Raw genomic sequence first — 18,215 nt, 5'->3', positions numbered from 1 at the left:
GAATTGATATAATTTGTTCCTTAAGTATTTGGTAGAATTTACTAGTGAACTGATCAGGGTCTCATGGTTTCTGTTTTGGAAGGTTATTAATTATTAATTCCATTCCTTTAATAGATCTAGGCCTATCTGGATTGTCTATTTCTTCTTGTGTGAGTTTTATCAGATTTTATTTTTCAAGAAATTCATCTATTTCCCCTAGGTTATCAAATTTGTGGGCACAGAATTATTCATAGTATTCCTTTATTATCCTTCCAATGTCCATGGGCTCTGAAGTGAAATCTCCTCCTTCCAAAAGTAGTAATTTGTGCCCTTCTTTTTCCTAGCCTGGCTAGAAGCTTATCAGTTTTGTTATCTTTTCAAAGACCCAGCTTTTGGTTTCAAAAATTTTCCCTATTGATTTCCTATTTCAATTTCTTTAATTTCTACTCTAATATTTATTGTTTCTTGTGCTTACTTTGGATTAATTTGCCCTTTCTCTAGTTTTCTATGGTAAAAGCTTGCATGATTGATTTTAGATCTTTCTGCTTTCCTAATATATGCATTCAATACTACAGTAGTTTCCCCTTATCCACAGGCGCTATGTTCCAAGACTTCCAGTGGATGCCTGAAACCTTGGATAGTACCCAGCCTAAATGCTGTAAATCAGAATATGTTTCTATTTCTGTCTTCCAGCCACAAAATGTAACGCTTTTTTCATCTTAACTAGGCACTTACAGTGGCCATACTTTTGCAGCATGAGGTGTGACAACAAAACTAGCATGAATTTTTTTATCCTTCTTCACAATATCGTGGATAGAAGATTCATTTTTACCGTAGATGTTAGCAAGTTCAGCATATAATTTTTTTCTTTTCTTATTAAGTCAAGAATGTTCACCTTTTCACTTAAAGGAAGTACTTTATGGCTTCCTTCATATCTGAATTGCCAGCATTTCTACTTTTGTGCTTTGGAGCCATTAAGTAAAATAAGGGTTACTTGAACACAAGCACGGTCATATCACAATAGTCAATCTAATAACCAAGACTGCTCACGCCTGTATTCCCAACACTCCAGGAGGCTGAGGTAGGCAGATCACTTGAGGCCAGAAATTCGAGACCAGCCTGGCTCACATGGTGAAACCCCGCCTCTGCCAAAAAATACGAAAGTTAGCCAGGCATGGTGGCCTGCCTGTAATCCCAGCTACTCAGGGACGGTGGGGGGCTGGGGGGAGGGGGGCAGAGCTGAGGCAGGAGAATTACTTGAACACAGGAGGTAGAGGTTGCAGTAAGCCAAGACAGTGCCACTGCACTCCAGCCTGTGTGACAGAGTGAGACCCTGTCTCAAAAAAAAAAAAGACTGCTACTAAATGACTAATGGCCAGGTAGTGAATGTATATAAGGTGAACAAAGGAGGATTTACATCTCATAGGGGATGAAGTGGGAAGGCAAGAGATTTTATCATGCTACTCAGAACAGTATTCAATTTAAAACTTAAGAATTGTTTATTTTTGGAATTTTTCACTTAATATTTTCAGACTGTAGTTGACCACAGATAACTGAAACCACAAAAAGTAAAACTGCAAATGAGGAAGTACTACTGTGTATATTTCCCTTTACGCATTTTAAAAACTTGTGAGATGTTTGCTGCATCCCACAAGTTTTCATAAGTTGTGTTTTCATTTTCATTTAGTTCAAAGTATTTAAAATTTTATCTTGAGATTTCTTCTTTGACCTATGTGTTACTTAGAAGTATGTTGTTTAATCTCTAAGTATGTGGGGATTTTCCAACTACCTGTTTTTGATTTCTAGTTTAATTTTATTGCAGTCTGAGAGAAGACATTGATTGTATGATTCCTATTCCTTCAAATTTGTTAAGGTATGTGTTTTTTGGCCCAGAATATGTTCTATACTGGTGAATGTTCCATGTAAGCTTGGAAGAATGTGTATTCTGCTGTTGTTAGATGAAGTAGTCAATAGATATCCATTATAACCAGTTGATTGATGGTGTTGTTGAGTTCAACTCTGTTGTTACTGATCTTCTTGCCTACTGGACCTGTCCATTTCTAATAGAGGGGTGTGTTAAAATCTCCAATAATAATACTGGATTTAACTATTTCTCCTTGCACTTGTATCAGTTTTTGCTTACATATTTTGACACTCTGTTTTTATGTGCACGTATTAGACTGCTCTAACACTACTGATAAAGACAGACCTGAGACTGGGCAATTTACAGAAGAAAGAGGTTTAATGGACTTACAGTTCCACACGGCTGAGGAAGCCTCACAATCATGGTAGAAGGCAAGGAGGAGCAAGTCACATCTTACATGGATGGCAGCAGGCAAAAAGAGAAAGCTTGTGCAGGGAAACTCCCCTTATAATATCATCAGATCTTGTGAGACTTATTCACTATCACGAGAACAGCATGGGGAAGACCTGCCCCCATGATTCAATTACCTCCCACTGGGTCCCTCTCACAACATGTGGGAATTCAAGATGAGATTTGGGTGGCGACACAGAGCCAAACCATATCATTCCACCCTTGGCCCCTCCCAAATCTCATGTCCTCACATTTGAAAACCAGTAATGCCTTCCCAACAGTCCCCCAAAGTCTTAACTCACTTCAGTATTAACTCAGAAGTCCACAGTGCAATGTCTCATCTGAGACAAGGCAAGTCCCTTCTGCCTATGAGCCTGTAAAATCAAAAGCATGTTAGTTACTTTTTAGATACAATGGAGGTATAAGCATTGGGTAAATACAGCCATTCCAAATGGGAGAAATGGGCTAAAACAAAGGGGCTACAGGCCCCATGCAGGTCCAAAATCCAGCGGGGTGGTCAAATCTTAGAGCTCCAAAATGATCTCCTTTGACTCCATGGCTCATATCTAGGTCACATTGATGCAAGAGGTGGGTTCCCATGGTCTTGGGCAGCTCTGCCCCTGTGGCTTTGCAGGGTACAGCCTCCCTCCCAGCTGCTTTCATGGTCTGGTGTTGAATGTCTGTGGCTTTTCCAGACACATGGTGCAAGCCGTTGGTGGATCTACCATTCTGGGGTCTGGACGGTGGCCCTCTTCTCACAGCTACACTAGGTGGTGCCCCAGGAGGAACTCTGTGTGGGGGCTTCAACCCCACATTTCCCTTCCTCACTGCCCTAGCATAGATTCTTCATGAGAGCCCCGCTCATGGAGCTACAATTCAAGATAAGATTTGGGTGGGGACACAACCAAATCATATCATGATGTTAAGAGAAACCCCACCACCACCTATAATTCTGTACCTTGTGAAATTATCTTTCAAAAGTGAAGAATTAAAAGAAAAGAAAATGTGAAAGAGAAATCAAGACTTTCTCAGCAAACAAAAATGGAGTGCATTTGTTGCTAGGAGTGCCTTGCAAAAACATTAAGAGAAGTTCTTCAGAGAGAAGAAGATGATATAGTTCAGAAACTCTCATCTATGAAAAGAGAAAAACAGCATCAAGAAGAAATAAGTGGAAGTAAAATGCAAACTTTTATTTTTTCTTATTCTTAATTGATCTAACATAGTAGTTTGCTTAAAAAATCTATATATTTTATTATGTATGCTTATGTGGGTACATATGTATAGATATAGATATATTTAAGCTTATGATACTTATGTATGCTTATGTATAAGTAAAATAAATGACAACAATAATATAAGGTATGGGAGAGAGAAGTTTGGAATATTTTATTACAAAGTACTGGTAATAATATGAAGTGGTAAAGTGTTATTTGAAATTGGACTTGGATTAGTTGTAAATGTATATTACAAACTAAGAGAATCACTTTAAAAAGTACAAAAAGAAGTACAAGTGTTATGCTAAGAAAGGAGAGAAAATGAAATCATATAAAATGCTCACTTAAAACCACAAAAGGCAGAAACAGAAAAGAAGACAAAATAAGAACAAGGTAAATGAATAGAAAACATTAACAAATATGGTAGATATGAGTCCAGATCCATTGACAATCATTTTAAAACTCAATGGTCTAAATACACTGATTAAAATATATATATCAAAGTGGATCAAAAAAGAAGGCCAAACTATTGTTGTCTACAAAAAACTCATCTTAAATATAAAGACACATATAGATTAAAAGAAAACGAGTGAAGATAATTATGCTAACACCAATCAAAAGAAAGCAGGAGTAGCTATGTAATTCCATACAAAGCAAATTTCGGAACAAGGAAAGTTATCAGGGATAAAGAGGGACATAACAAAATGATAAAAGGGTCAATACCCCATAAAGACATGACAATCCTTAATGCACTGATATAGTTTGGCTGTGTCTCAACCCAAATCTCATCTTGAATTCCATATGTTGTGGGAGGGATATGGTGGGAGGTAATTGAATAATGGGGGCAGGTCTTTCCTGTGCTGTTCCCATAATAGTGAATAAGTCTCACAAGATCTGACCATATTATAAGGGGAGTTTCCCTGCACAAGCTCTCTCTTTTGCCTACTGCCATCCATGTAAGAGGTGACTTGCTCCTCCTTGCCTTCCACCATGATTGTGAGGCTTCCCCAGGCACATGGAACTGTAAGTTCATTAAACCTCTTTCTTTTATAAATTGCCCAGTCTTGGGTATGTCTTTATCAGCAGCATGAGAACAGACTAATACAGCAAATTGGTACCAGTAGAGTGGGATGCTCCTGAAAAGATACCCAAAAATGCAGAAGTGACCTTGGAATTGGGTAACAGACAGAAGTTGGAATAGTTTGGAGGACTGACAATGCAATAGGAAAGAAAATCCCATTTTCTGAGGAGAAATTCAAGCCAGCTGCAAAAATTCACATAAGTAATAATGAGTCAAATGTTAATCACCAAGACAATAGGGAAAATGTCTCCAGGGCATGTCAGAGACCTTTGCAGCAGACCCTCCCATCATAGGTCTAGAGTCTTAGGAGGAAAAAATGGTTTTGCGGGTGGAGCCCAGGGCCCCTCTTCTGTGTACATCCTAGGGACTTGGTGCCCTGTGTCCCAGCCATTCCAGCCGTGGTTAAAAGGGGTCAAGGTATGGTTCAGGTCGTGGCTTCAGAGGGTGAAAGCCCCAAGCCCTGGCAGCTTCCACATGGTGTTGAGCCTGCGGGTGCACAGAAGTCAAGAATTGAGGTTTGGGAACCTCCGGTTAGATTTTAGAGGATGTATGGAAACTCCTGGATGTCCAGGAAGAAGTTCCCTGCAGGGATGATCCCTCATGAAGAACCTCTGCTAGGGAAGTGCAGAAGGAAAATGTGGGGTTGAAGCCCCCACAGAGTCCCCAGTGGGGCACTGCTTAAGGAAGCTGTGAGAAGAGGGCCACTGTCCTCCAGACCCCAGAATGGTAGATCCACTGACAGCTTGCACCATGTGCCTGGAGAAGCCACAGACACTCAACACCAACCTGTGAAAGCAGCTGGGAGGGAGCCTGTACCCTGTAGAGCTATGGGGGCAGAGCTTCCAAAGACCATGGGAACCCACATCTTGCATCAGTCTGACCTGGATGTGAGACATGAAGTCAAAGGAGATCATTTTGGAGCTTTAAAATTTGACTGTCCTGTTGGATTTCAGACTTGCATGGGGCCTTTGGCCCCTTCATTTTGGCCTATTTCTTCTATTTGGAATGGGTGTATCTATCTAATGCCTGTACCCTCATTGTATCTAGGAAGTAACGAACTTACTTTTGATTTTACAGGCTCATAGGCAGAAGGGACTTGCCTTGTGTCAGATGAGACTTTTGAGTTAATGCTGAAATGAGTTAAGACTTTAGGGGACCATTGAGGAGGCATGATTGGTTTTGAAATGTGAGAACATGAGATTTGGGATGAGCCAGGGGCAGAATTATATGATTTGGCTGTGTCCCCACCCAAATCTCATATCTTCAATTGTAGCTGTCATAATTCCCCATGTGTCATGGGAGGGACCCTATAGGAGGTAACTGAATCATGGACACAGTTTTCCCCATACTGTTCTCATGGTAGTGAGTAAGTCTCACAAGATCTGATGGTTTTATAAGGGGAAACCCTTTCACTTGGCTCTCATTTTCTCTTCTCTGCTGCATGTAAGACATGACTTTTGCCTCCCACCATCACTGTGAGGCCTCCCTAGCCACATAGAATGTGAGTCAATTAAACCTATTTTTCTTTATAAATTACCCAGTCTTGGGTGTGTCTTTATCAGCAGCATGAAATGAACTAATACACACCATAAATAATTTACTCTACTCTCTTCATGCTTGCATGCATTCCTGGAGAAAATTGGATGTAATTCTTACTTTTGATTCTCTAAAGATAAGGTATTTTTTTCCTATGACTTCTTTCAAGAATTTGTCTTTGATTTCTGTAATTTGAATATGATATGCCTAGGTATAGGCTTTTTTTTGGTTTGGGTATTTTTTGTTTGTTTGTTTGTTTTTTGCATTTATCCTGCTTGGTATTCTCTCTGCTTCCGGGATCTGCGGTTTGATATCTGTCAGGAATTTGGGGAAAACTGTGTCCTTATTGCTTCAATTATTGCTTCTGTTTGCTCTTTCTCCTCTTGATATTTCCGTTACATGTATTCACACCTTTTGTAGTTTTATCACATTTCTTAGATATTCCATTTCATTGTTTTTGGTATTTTACTCTTTGCTTTTCAGTTTTGAAAGTTTCTACTGACATATCCTCAAGCTCACAGTTTTTTTTCTCGGCTATCTCCAGTCCACTAATGAGCTCACCAAAGTCATTCTTCATTTCTGTTACAGGGTTATTTATCTCTAGCATTTCTTTTTTTAGTATTTCTTTTTTATTCTGTCTTAGAATTTCCATCACTCTGCTTACATCATGCATCCATTCTTACATGTTCTCTATTTTGTCCAGTAGAGTCCTTAACACATCAATCATAATTTTTTAAAATTCCTAATCTGGTAACTGCAACATCCTGCTATATCCAACTCTGGGTCTGATGCTTACTTTTTTCAAACTGCACATTTTGCCTCTAAGTATGCTTTATAATTTCTTTGTTGAAAGGTGAACATGGACTGGGTAAAAGGAATTGCAGTAAATAGGCCTTTAGTGATGTGGTGGGACAGTGTGGGTCAGGGTAGATTTCTTTAGTACTGTGATGAGCACTCAATGTTTTAGTGAGCCTGTGCCTCTGGACTGTGAAGTTTGTATGTGCTTCTCACTTTTCTCCCCTTTTAGGTAGAAGAGGATGGCTAGAGTGGGGTAGAGTTGAATATTTCCTTTCCCTCAGTCAGTTGGGCTCTGAAAAACTCCAATAGGTTAGGCTCTGGTAAAAATAGTTTCTCCTGAGGACAGGCCTTGTTAAGAAGAATGGCATGCTCTGGTATACTTTTAAATGATTACTTTCCCCCTTCCCCTGACAGAAGCATGAGAGGATTTTTCTTCAATATCTACTGGGAGAATAGGGTCAATCTCTGAATGGTAAACTCATGAAGGTGTGTGGGTTCCCATATGACTGGGTTCCCATGGTGTTTTAACTCTTAGATTTCTCTACACTAAGGCTCTAAGAATTTGTCAATTAGAGTTTAGGTTTATATAGCCCAGCACTGGTTCCTGTGGAGGTTTCTGCTTGTGGGTTTCTTCTCCTTTAAGTTGTAATTCTCTGTATTCAGTCTCTCTAATTTTTAGGACAGTAGTTTGCCCTGTGACCTCACTTCTCTGATAGATCTGAGACAAGTTTTTATTTTCCAGGCCCTTTTCAGCTTTTTGTTTGTTGTTAGGATGCAGTAATGACTTCCAAACTCCTTACATGTTACAATGGAAACCAGAGAAGTTTTTAGTCTAGGTTTTTAAAGTAGAAGTAGGTCATTGATGGTAAACCTTTCTTCTTTTTAAACATAAGCATGTAAAGCTATAACTTTCCATGTAAGCACTTCTTTAGCCGCATCTCACCCATTTATAATGTTTTCTATTATCAATCAGTTCAAACAATCTTCTAATCCCCAACATAATTTCTCATTTGACACATGGGTTATTTAAAAGGATATTGCTGAATTTCTAAATGTTGGGGATTTTCTACTTACATTTATTACTAATTTCCACTTTAATACTGTTGTGGTCACAAAATATACTATGTATCACTTCAATCTTTGATATTTGTTGAGATGTGTTTTTTGATGCAGCACATGTTGATCTTTATGAATGTTCCATGAGTACTTGAAATAATTTATATCTGCATTTGTTAATTAGATCAACTTGGTTAATAATGCTGTTCAAATCTTTTCTATATTTACTGATTATATTGTCTACTTAGACAAAGCGATGTTAACAGCACTATGTAAGTCAGGGTTCTCCAAAGAAACAGACACAATAGAAGATATACATATCTATGTATTAAGACAATTATTTAAAGGAATTGGCTCATGTGATTTTAGGAGCTGTCGAGTCTGAAATCAATAGGATAGGCCATCAGGCTGGAAACTCAGGTAGGTGTTAGTGCTTCAATCTTTTTTTTTTTCTTTTTGAGACGGAGTCTCGCTCTGTCGCCCAGGCTGGAGTGCAGTGGTGCGATCTCGGCTCACTGCAAGCTCCGCCCCCCGGGGTTCACGCCATTCTCCTGCCTCAGCCTCCCGAGTAGCTGGGACTACAGGCACCCGCCACTACGCCCGGCTAATTTTTTTGTATTTTTAGTAGAGACGGGGTTTCACCATGTTAGCCAGGATGGTCTCGATCTCCTGACCTCGTGATCAGCCCGCCTCGGCCTCCCAAAGTACTGGGATTACAGGCGTGAGCCACGGCGCCCAGCCAGTGCTTCAATCTTGAGGCAGAATATCTTCTGTTCCAGGAAACCTGGTTTTACTCTAGGGTTTTCAACTGATTAGGTGAACCCACACCCACATCATCAAGTAATATCCTTTACTTTCAGTCAACTGATTGTAGATCTCACCACATGGACAACATATCTTCAAAGCAACACCTAAATTGGTGTTTGATTAAATAACTGGGCACTGTAGCTTAGCCAAGTTGACATATAAACCAAACCATCACACTAACTAAATGAGAATTTGCCTATTTCTCCTTTTGTCCTATCTATCACCTCTTGTTTTATGCTCTGTCATTAGGTGCACAGTTAAGATTGTTATGTTTTCTTGATGAATCAATCCATTTATCATCATGCATATAGTTCTCTATCTCTGGTAATAATCTTTGTCTTGACATCTCCTTTGACTAATATTTATATAACCACACCAGCTTTCTTATACTTCATTTTTTCATGGTTTTTTTTCCCCAACCTATTGCTTTCGATCTGACTGTGTCACTTTATTTAAATACATTTCTTTTTTTTTTTTTTTTCCCCAAGATGGAGTCTCGCTGTGTCGCCCAGATTGGAGGGCAGTGGCATGATCTTGGTTCACTGCAACCTCTGCCTCCTGGGTTCAAGTGATTCTTCTGCCTCAGCCTCCCAAGTAGCTGGGACCACAGGCGTGCACCACCATGCCTGGCTAATTTTTGTATTTTTCATAGAGATGTGGTTTCACTATGTTGGCCAGGCTGGTCTCAAACTCCTGACCTCGTGATCTGCCTGCCTCAGCCTCCCAAAGTGCTGGGATTACAGGCGCGAGCCACTGCACCCTGTCTTAAATATGTTTCTTATAAAGAGCATATAGATAGGTTTTTCTTTTTTCCTATCTGACAATCACTTTTTTTGGGGTGAGCGCTTAGTTCATTTATATTCAGTGTAATTATTAATATGATTGGGTTATAACCTACCATTGATTTTCTATTTGCAAAATTTGTCTCTCATTTCATCCCTTTTTTCTTGTCTTATTTTGGGTTAATAGAGTAGTTTTTAGTATTTAATTTAATCTCATCCATTGAATTTTTAGATATGCTTCTTTGTTTTTTATAGATTGCTCAGTATAGAATATATGATATCTTAAAGATATATATGATATATAGAATATATGATATCTTAAAGATATATACCTTTAAGTTATCCCAATCTACATTAAAATAATATTATATTACTTCACAAACAATGTAAGAACCTGGTAAATATATAATTCTATGTATCTATGCTTCTGGTCCTTGTGCTGTTATTTTCCCACATTTTACTTCTACATATGCTGCAGCTCAATACATTGTTATTATTTATATCTTAAAAAGTCAATTTTTTGAAGAAGTTAAAATTTATAGGTACATATGTATTAAAAATAAAGATGTTAAAATAGTCTTTAATCTTCGCTGTTTCTAGTACTCTTCATGCTTCATTTAGGTTGCAACTGGTATTTTTTTCTTCAGCCTGAAAACCTCCTTATGGCATTTTGTGTAGTACAAATCTACCAAAGACTAGTGCTCTCAGCTTTTGCCTACTAGAAATGTTTTTATTTTGCCTTCTTTTTTAGGATATTTTTATTGGACATAGAATTCTATGTTGACTTTGTCTTTCATTCAGTACTGCAAAGGTATCATTTCACTGTCTTCTGGCCTGCAAAGTTGGCTATCATTTAGATCATTGTTTCCCCATGCGAGGTTTCTTTTCCTTCTAAGATTTGTTTTTTGTTGTTAGTTTTCAGCAGTTTGAATATGACATGTCTAGATGTGGTCGCCTTTGTATTTGTCCTGTTTGGTGTTTGCATGAGTAGTAGGCAGAATTCTTCTAAGAAATGTATTGCACAATCCTAATACTTGAACACAGGATAATGTGGAAGATTTTCTGGTCCAGACACTCTGCGAATATGGGTTTATTTTACTAGAAGGCAAAAAACTCTTATGCTCAATAGACCTTGGGAGAACCTCAGGCTGTTTCTGTCTTAAAACATGGTGGCTGCTAACTTCTGGAAAACAAGTTGTCATTTTGGAAAACATAAGAACAAACTTTAGAAAGGTGTCAATCTCTTGGATTATGGTCAGGAAAATCTCAGGTCAGACAAGTAATTTAAAGTAAATACAGTTGACCTTTGAACAACACAGGTTTGAACTACATGGGTCCATATTTATACGTGGATTGTTTTCCGTCTCTGCCACACCTGAGATGGCAAGACCAACCCCTTCTCTTATTGCTCCTCTTCAGCCTACCCAATTTGAAGATGGTGAGAATGAAGATCTTTATGATGAGCCATTTCTATTCAATGGAGAGTAAATATCTTTTCTCTTTCTTATGATTTTATCCATAACATTTTCTTTGCTCTAGCTTACTTTATTATAATACAGTACCTAATACATATAACATATAAAATATGTGTTAATAAATCGTTTATATTATCAGTAGGCTTCTAGTCAACAGTAGGTTATTAGTAATTAAGTTTTAGGGGAGTCAAAACTTTTGAATTTTCAACTGTGCCAGTGATCAGCACCTCTACCCTCTCTGTTGTTCAAGGGTCAACTGTAATTTGCATATCTGACAACCTTGTTGGGATTTTGTTTGTTTGGGTTGTCACATGTTCATATCTTGGAGCTAGAAAGAACAAAGCATTATATTTCCAATGACTTGGTTGGTGTTCTAGTCAAAGTACCCAACAACTTGTGTAGTCAAGTCCAGTCATCAGCAGAGAGTTGGCCATGGGCAGTGGTCAGGCACAGGAGTCTGGATCTATAATCTGTGGAAAGAAAGGGAAGACTAAATGAAGACAGAGAAGACCTTAAAATCCATGCCCTTTTCTACCTCTGATTTTAGATTCCTCTCTAATAAATACCTACCCTGTTTTTCTAAAATAGAGTGAGAGAGGGAAAAAAAATCATGGATCACATCAGGAATTTAATTTTTAATCATCATGCTTGGAATAATTATCGATCAAGTCTTAACTTTTTTTGAGATCACTAGTCAGTCTAAAGGATTTCAAGCTGACATAACAATATTCCTTAATTTTGCCAGAACTGCTAATTAATAGTAATAATAGAAAGTCTTGGTATGGATCCAGTCTGGAAGGATTGAAGCCAAAGTGAACATCCTGTGGGCTATAGATGAACAGCTCATTTACATCTGGATGCTCTGATTGAATTTCAATAGTGTGTTCTTCTATCTCAGGAGAAAAGAGCTACATTCATGTCTATGTTGGCTTATATCCAAACAAAAATAAATAAATATTAATTTTGGCATATGCATGTATTAAAATTACATATTTAAGTATTTTTCTTTGTGGGAAACACTGATTTCAAAATGTCTTTTTCTAAATAATAGTAAGAAAAATAAAACTATAAAACGATCTGTGTATGATCTTTGTACATTTTTAAATTATGTCCTCCAATATTTAATAGCACTGAAATATTCAACAGCTGCAGTGCTAATCTCAAGTTAATATTTTTATTTGGTCTTATAAATAAATGGGAAGATTTTTCATGCTAATTAAGTCACAGACTATTAGTATAATTTACAATTTCATGTTGTTATTTTGCTGCATATCAAAACTTATTTAATCACATAAAACTTACAACATACATGAGATGGTAGACTAGGCAACATTTTTTAAAAAGGTATTTCAAATGCTAAGCAATTTTGCTTATAGTAAAAAGTTCAACTAATAAAAAACCCTAAAATTAGAAATTCATATTTCTTTTATGTAATGAGTATAGTAATTTTATTCCTAAACTTGAGAGCAATAGCATGAAAGAAGCAAATTAGTGAATTTAATAATTCATTTACTCATTTGTCCCACCAATTGTTTTTATTGTGTGTTAATGCTGGAGATAGGTGGTAAACACAGCAAATGCACTCCCTGCCTTTCAAGAGCAATCAGAGTTGCTTCAGGGATAGATAATAACCAACAAACTGTGCAATTAGAATTGTGGTAAGTGAAATTAGGCAGAAATACACAGTACTAAGGAACTTCTTGCTTCTCTGAGGAAATGACATTTAAACTCAGATCTGAAGGATGAGTAAGAGTGAGATGAAAGGAGTGGGAGGTGTATAAACAGAGGGAGGACAGCGTGAGGGAGCCTCTTAAAAGAGGGGATTGATAAGTCTTCATGGATGGAATACAATAAGGGAAGGGAGAAGGCAGAGAAGAGGTTAGCAGGGGATGATCACGCACATCACTGTATGTCCTATTAAGGATTTTGGTCTTCATCTTAAGAGCAATGTGCTGGTAGTTATTGAGAAGTTTTAAGCAGGGAGAAACGTGATAAGATTTGGCAACAAAGTAGAGAATGACTTGGACTGGTTTCATAGTAGATAACAAAGACCAGTTAAGAGACTCTTCTGGAAATTCAGCCCTAAAAAAGGGAATAGTTTGATTCAGAGTGGTGGGGATATAGAATAAGATTCAATGTTGTGACATTTAGTAAACAGAATCAACAGGAATTAGAGACTGATTAAACATGGAATAGGAGGTACAGTTAAGGGAAATGAGTAAAGAATGATGTCCAGGTTGCTGGGGTGTGCAGTTAGTGGACATTGGTGCCATTTGCTGAGGGGAACAACACTGGAAGTGGCTCACAATTTTCTTTTTTGCATGGTTGGGGAGGGAGTAGAGACACAATTGAGAATTTAAGTTTAGGCATTCTGAGTTTGATGTGCCTATGAAATGTTCAAGAGGAGATGGCGAGTCAGCAATTTTAAATCCAGAACCAACAGGAGACATAAATTTGAAAGCATTAGATAACTGAAGCCATGAGTGTAGGTAAGATTGTCTCAACAAGTTTTCTCAACAGAAGTTCTACAGAATCCTAGTGGGCTGCTAAATGTCTCGAGAGCTTCCATGTGAAATACTGATTGCAGAGATATTAAACATCAGATTTTGTCCTAATGTACATAGGACAATATTTATTTAGATACATCCATTCTCAGATATTGATGCCAGGTGAGGGAGGCCTTGGATATCTGTTGAGTGTTATGCTGCACAAAGGTGAGGAAGGCAGGAAAATGATGTCCACCTTCTCCCTCCAAGTTACCTTTCCCACCTCCCTTTATATACAACCTACTGACAAGGAAAAAAATAAGCTCTACAGGTGTAACAGACAATCAGTGGGACCTTTTCACCCTAAAGAAGATACTTATACATACCAAGACTCATCTGATCCCTGCTGCTTGTTGTTGTAATAAGTGCTGAATGTGAATTCGGTAAGTTAAAAATAGACTGTATTGTAGGTTTTGCATTTCTTGAGATTTTCTCAGGTATTGTGCCTTTCTGTTTTGTTTTTTGTTGTTGTTATGTTTTGTTTTGTCTCATTTTTTTGAGGTGGAGTATGGCCCTGGCGCCCATGCTGGAGTGCAATGGCATGATCTCAGCTCACTGCAATGTCCCCTCCCGGGTTCAAGCAATTCTCCTGCCTCAGCCTCCGGAGTAGCTGGGATTACAGGTGTGTGCCACCACACCCAGCTAATTTTTGTATTTTCAGTAGAGACGGGTTTCACCATGTTGGCCAGGCTGGTCTCAATTTCCTGACCTTGTGATCCGCCCTCCTTGGCCTCCCAAAGTGCTGGGATTACAGGCGTGAGCCACTGTGCCCTGCTGTACCTTTCTGTTTTATATTTTATCTGCATTTGTGTTTCACAAATATATCTGAACATTGGGTTGATGATTTCTGAAGATGAAGTATGAGATAGAAAAGAAAGATTCTAGGCTTAGGCTTCTGGACAGTTTTGATAAGGTTGGATAAGGAAATAAAATCTTTTGAGTCAATTCACTCCCCCAGTGCAGAGAATCCAAAAGAAAGTTCACCTTTACAATGAAAGCTACTTAACAATGAGTTTTACATCCAAGTTGATCTATTCTATTGTGCACAGTCAATACCAAACAACTAAAAATGCAGCAATAACTAGCAAAATTGAAAAGACATTTAACTACAAATTACAGCCATTTAACAAATAAAGATACTGATTATTTTAAACAATAATTTGAATCTCAAACAAACAAAATAAATATTTTGTTCTAAAAAACAGTCACACTCAAGGAAAAGGCTCTGAAAACAAGTTATTTTGGAGTTATCCAAAGCACAAAGTGTAGCCTAGAAAAGGAAAAGTTGCATAGTTGGTGAGAACTTAATAATGATAGCAGGTAAGGTCATAATTAGGAAAATGCTAGAATGAGATTCCATACAAGCAACTGAAAAAGTCACGCTCTCAATCAGCATAATAAGCTGACATACTGATGGCATGCCACATGATGCTGAAGGTATTTTTATAATACATTGAAAAATTACAGCTTCTTTGTCCATTTTGATGAATAAACAAATTTCACCAATAAACATCATGCTGTAGCACTTGTAAGATTTATAAATAATGTTGAAATTTAAGAACATTTTTTTTCTACTGCAGGATGTTGCCCAAAACAAGTAAAGGACAAGATACTTTTTCTCTTCATCTTTATATCTGAAAACAGAAAGTCTATTTTGCAAGAATGGCACTGGCATCTGCGTTGATGGTGCCCCAAGAAAATTCACCTTCACACTGACATCACAAGACACTGACTTATTTCCAGAGAGCTACTGGTGTTGAAAACTCTTAAATACAAAATGAAAAAAAAAAATCTGAGTAATGCTACAAGGATGATTACTATTAAACACAGACCAGTTCACTGAAGATGGCTTGAAGATGGTATGAGAATATTGGAGGCCACCTAACAAACCTTATTCTACATCCAGTGAGTTAGCAGAGGAAGAGTTCTCAACAGGGTGTTTGAACCGAAAGGTAGCACTTTCAAGAAATTAGTAGGTCAGATTTTGCTAGAGGGTTTCAAGATAAAGAATGGCTGCAGAAACTAGGCTATTTAGCAGCCATTTTCCATCACCTTATCCAGATGAACAAGTCTTTGTATGGCCCAGAAACTTTTTTTTTGTTTCAAATGACAGGATTCTTGAATTTAAAGAAATTGAATCTTTAGGAAAAAACAAGTCACAGAAGGAAATTGTGAAATGTTTCAACTGCTGCTTGGGCTTGAAATTGAAGGAGGATATGAGCATATTGAAAACCATCCAGAGAACTGCAGAGCAACACTGAGTGTACTTTTCCCTTCAATCCAAGTGTCTGACTTGGTGAGGGATGCTTTCTCTAGATTTTCTCCTCACATGAGAACTTGATTTTCAGAGAAGAGGAAGAACTTTGAGATGAAGTCTGATTATTCTTACAAATGACAATAAGAGTTCTGCCCCTATATGAGTTCTGGGTTTCTGTGAAGACAGAGTATCCTGCCATTTACAGTGAAGCAGTGAATATTTTGCTGTGGTTTTCAACTTTTTTGATTTATGAGCAACATTTTCTTATTTAAGAAACACCAAAAACAAGGACAGAAATTGTCTGATCATAGTTGAAAATGAAGTAGTTGAATGCTTACTTCATATATTTGACCTAGAATTGAGTATTTTTGCAGCAAAAACCAAGTTTGAAATTACATGTGTAAATTTCATTCTTTCCTTTTGGTTCAAATAATACTTTTAAAAATATTTAGGCCTATAAAAGAGATTGGAAAACCAACACACATCTGCATAACAATTTTGTAACTTCTAGGTCTATATTTGAGCCTAATCATGTCACTCACAAAGAAAATGATTTGTTACAGCTTTATACTAAAGACTTTGACTTTTTTTTTTATGGATATATCACATTTTATTTATTCATTTATTAGTTGATAAACAATTAGATTTGTAATTTTTGGCTATTATAAATACTGCTGCTATAAACATCATGTACAATTCTTTTGTGTAAACGTATGTTTTTGCTCTCTTGAGTATATACCTAGTGGTGAAATTGTTGGGGCACATGAAAACCTATATTTAATTTTTGAGAAATTGCAGAACTGTTTTCCAAAGTGACAACACAATTTTACATTCCAACAAGCAATCTGTAAGACTTTGACTTTTATATATGTCCTAAGCTGTATTTTTATTTCCACTGCTTTGACTTATTATTTTAAGAGGTTTACTATTCAGCATTCCCAACAAATCTTTGTGTTGTAAATAATATTAATTAAATTCAACTGACAAATTTTATTTAATTAAATCTATCAAGTTTACCTTTAAAAAAGTAAATCTCAGTTGTAGTTCATTGAGCTGCATAAAGACAATGCCAGGGCAAGTGAGAACCAGATGGGCACTGGGTGATTCTGGATAATTCTGTGCCTTGCTGAGGAAAAATAACTAAACTTGGGCAAAGGAGAGCCTAAGAAGCCAAGAGGCAAAATATCTTCACAGCATTCTTTGTGTAAACTTGCTGGGAGGAGCAGAAGAAGAAGCACCCAAATGTTCGGTCAATTTCTCAGAGTTTTCTAAGAAGTGCCCAGATAGGTGGAAGACCATGTCTGCCAAGAAGAAAGAAAAATTTGAAGACATGGCAAAGGTAGACAATACTCGTTACAAAAGAGAAATGAAACCCATGTCCCTCCTAAAGAAGAAAGAAAAAAGAAGTTCAAAGATGCCAATGCACCCAAGAGGCCTCCTTTGGCCTCATTCTTTTCTGAGTATCACCCAAAAATCGAAAGAGAACATCCCAGCCTATCCATTGTTGCAAAGAAACTGGGAGAGACATGGAATGACACTGCTGCAGATGACAGGCAGCCTTATAAAAAGAAGGATGCAAGGCTGAAGGAAAAATACCCAAAGAATATTGCTGCACAGTAAGCTAAAGGAAAGACTGATGTAGCCAAAAAAAAAGGGAGTAAGAACAAGAAGGAAGAGGAGGAAGATGAAAAAAAGATGAAGAAGATGAAGATGAAGAAGAGGGAGAAGAAGAAGGAAGAAGGAGGAGGAGGAAGAGGAGAAGGAGGAGGAGGAGGAGATAATGACAATGTTAATAAGTTGGTTCTAGTGCAGTGTTTTTCTTGTCTTAAAAGCATTTAACCCCCCTGTACACAACTGACTACTTTTTAAAGAAACAAATTGAAATGTAAGTCTGTATAAAATTTGTTTTTAAATTGTACAGTGTCTTTTTTTATATAGTTAACACACTATCCAATGTGTCTTTAGATAGCCCTGTCCAGGTAGTATTTTCAATAGCCACTAACCTTACCTGGCACAGTATGGGGGTTGCAAATTGGCATGGAAATTTAAACAGGTTCTTTCTGGTGCACTGCACAAATTAGTTATATGTGGAGATGGTAGTTCTTTCATCTTCAGTTGTCTCTGATGCAGTTTATACAAAATAATTGTTGTTTTGATAACTGAATACAACTCTATAATTGTAAAAAAAAAAAAACAGTTGCAGCCATGTTGTTGACATTTTGAATGCTTCTAAGTAAATACAATTTAAAAATTATTTTGGCTTAAGCCAGTTATTTATTAACAGAAATTTACTATGTTAACCCATGGGTTTTAAGAATTATTGAAAATAAAGGAATTAAATTTTTAAAAGACAAGCTAAGCTTATTGCCT

The 18,215-nt window shown here is 37.3% G+C and overlaps 1 long non-coding RNA gene and 1 pseudogene across 4 annotated transcripts in view; one reads left to right on the top strand and one right to left on the bottom strand.

Annotated features, from left to right (window-relative positions):
- AHI1-DT (AHI1 divergent transcript) overlaps nucleotides 1-18,215 on the bottom strand; it is a 218,255-nt gene that overhangs the window by 62,351 nt on the left and 137,689 nt on the right. For all 4 annotated transcript variants that reach the window (NR_152842.1, NR_152844.1, NR_152845.1 and 1 more), the window contains one exon: nucleotides 11,429-11,512. This is a non-coding gene — a long non-coding RNA (AHI1 divergent transcript). The remainder of the gene's footprint in view (nucleotides 1-11,428; nucleotides 11,513-18,215) is intronic.
- HMGB1P17 (high mobility group box 1 pseudogene 17) lies at nucleotides 16,992-17,595 on the top strand (annotated as a pseudogene).

This window comes from Homo sapiens, chromosome 6 (assembly GCF_000001405.40).
Source record: "Homo sapiens chromosome 6, GRCh38.p14 Primary Assembly".
In the NCBI taxonomy this organism is placed as follows: Eukaryota; Metazoa; Chordata; class Mammalia; order Primates; family Hominidae; genus Homo; species Homo sapiens.
Note: the sequence above shows the minus strand (reverse complement) of the source record. Positions and strands in the feature narration are given on the sequence as shown.